At 41.2% G+C, this 1,780-nt stretch overlaps 1 protein-coding gene across 25 annotated transcripts in view; it reads right to left on the bottom strand.

The window, feature by feature from the left end:
• The window catches only part of TRMT11 (tRNA methyltransferase 11), a 285,804-nt gene that overhangs the window by 172,528 nt on the left and 111,496 nt on the right, over positions 1–1,780 (bottom strand). The window lies entirely within an intron of this gene.

Here is a 1,780-nt window from a genome sequence, read left to right as displayed (position 1 = left end):
CTGGGATTTAAAAAATAAAAATAACAATTGTTTATTCTACTTCTTTTTTGTTTGTTTGTTTTGTTTTTTGAGACAGAGTCTTGCTCTGTCACTCAGGATGGAGTGCAGTGGCACGATCTCAGCTCACCGCAACTTCCGCCTCCCCTGTACAAGTGATTCTCTTGCCTCAGCCTCCCGAGTAGCTGGGATTACAGGTGGCTGCCAGCATGCCTGGCTAATTTTTGAATTTTTAGTAGAGATGGGATTTCACCGCATTGGCCAGGCTGGGCTTGCACTCCTGACCTCGGAAGGTAGAGGGATCCAACTTGCCATCCATGAAGTAGATCAGAGTCATCTGGAAAATCTCAGCACTAAGTCACAACTGTCAGTACACGGAAAGTCAATTACCTAAAGCCCATTAGTTATCACAGCAGGTCACAGGTAGGTGGCCAAATTTTGATTGATGCACTAAATTTATTTTCATTTTAATACAGGATATGTAGAGCAAAACCATTACCCAGAGTCTTGCTGAGCAAGTAGAGAATGTGTAAGTGAAAGCAAAGATGTGCGGTATTAACACCACACCAAAGTGCACAGATTTACTGAAATCTGGGGAAAATTTTCTCCCCTGAATTCAAAATACAGCACGTTTGAAGAAGTATACAATTCTATATAAATGCAATATATTCCTGAAGGACAACCAAATGATAAGAAGCTAACAATGAATAATTTAAGAATGCCACCAAGCTTCTAGCAATGAGAAGTAACTTCCAAAAGTGGGAGGCTGAGAAGCAACTCCTAGGTAGATTTAATCCTATGTGACAGCTACCTAATTATGTACCTACCAACTGTGAATGACACGTAGCCAGTTCTCAATACATATTTGTGGAGTTAATGGATCTTGTTGAATGCCTACATTTTCTGAATTAATTAGTAGCTTAAACCCATAATTTCTTACCTACTTTAAAAAAAATCCCCTTTGTGGAAATTTCCTAAACTACTGAAACATGAAAGAACAAAATGGTGTACCCATCTGTTTATCTAGGCCCATGTGACAAATAGGAAAACTGATCCTTGAGTGATCACTAGAGTAAGGGAATGTCACAGAGATGTTAATATTCCTTAGTCAGCTTCTACTAACTACACTCTTCTCCAACTTTTCATAGCCCCTCATCCCCCGCCAATCTCATTTCACAGATTTCTAACAAGAGAATAAAGAAAGGAGGTAATTGCAACAATGTTGGAGGTGAAAGACAGAGAATTGCTGCTGGGGAGAGGATGCAAACAGGTTGTACAGTCACTGTGGTCTATAGGGAGTGATTTGAGGTACTTTTTAAAAGCTCAGACCTTTATGGAACCAGAAATAACCACCATTCCTTCTTTTCCATTATAAAAATGCATCTGAAGTATGCTTTTATAAAAGGCAAATATGTCTAAAAGGAACATACAGGATTCACATAGAATTATTCTTCAAAATTTAAACAGCATCTGAAACAAAGAGAAGACAAATTCTAAGGAGAGTGGAAGAGTTAGGAGTGGGCAGGACTGGGAGGAGGTGTCAAGACCTGTGGGAGAGCTGTGCAGCGCCTGCCCCCAAGGAAATGAACGCAGCAGCAAACACATCAGGAGATCAGAGGTGGGAAGTGAGTGGACGCCAAGCACAGTAAGTACCTCAAACTTAGCTTAGCAGGTAGGGAAGGCAGGGAGGAGGAAAGCATTTTTTCTCCAGGGTGGCCTTCTGAGGCTAGAGGTGTGACCCATCCAGAAAAACAGTGGGGAAACTCCAGGCTAGACCACATGC

Source organism: Homo sapiens, chromosome 6 (genome assembly GCF_000001405.40).
Source record: "Homo sapiens chromosome 6, GRCh38.p14 Primary Assembly".
Lineage (NCBI taxonomy): Eukaryota > Metazoa > Chordata > Mammalia > Primates > Hominidae > Homo > Homo sapiens.
This window is presented reverse-complemented; position numbering and strand designations above follow the sequence as displayed.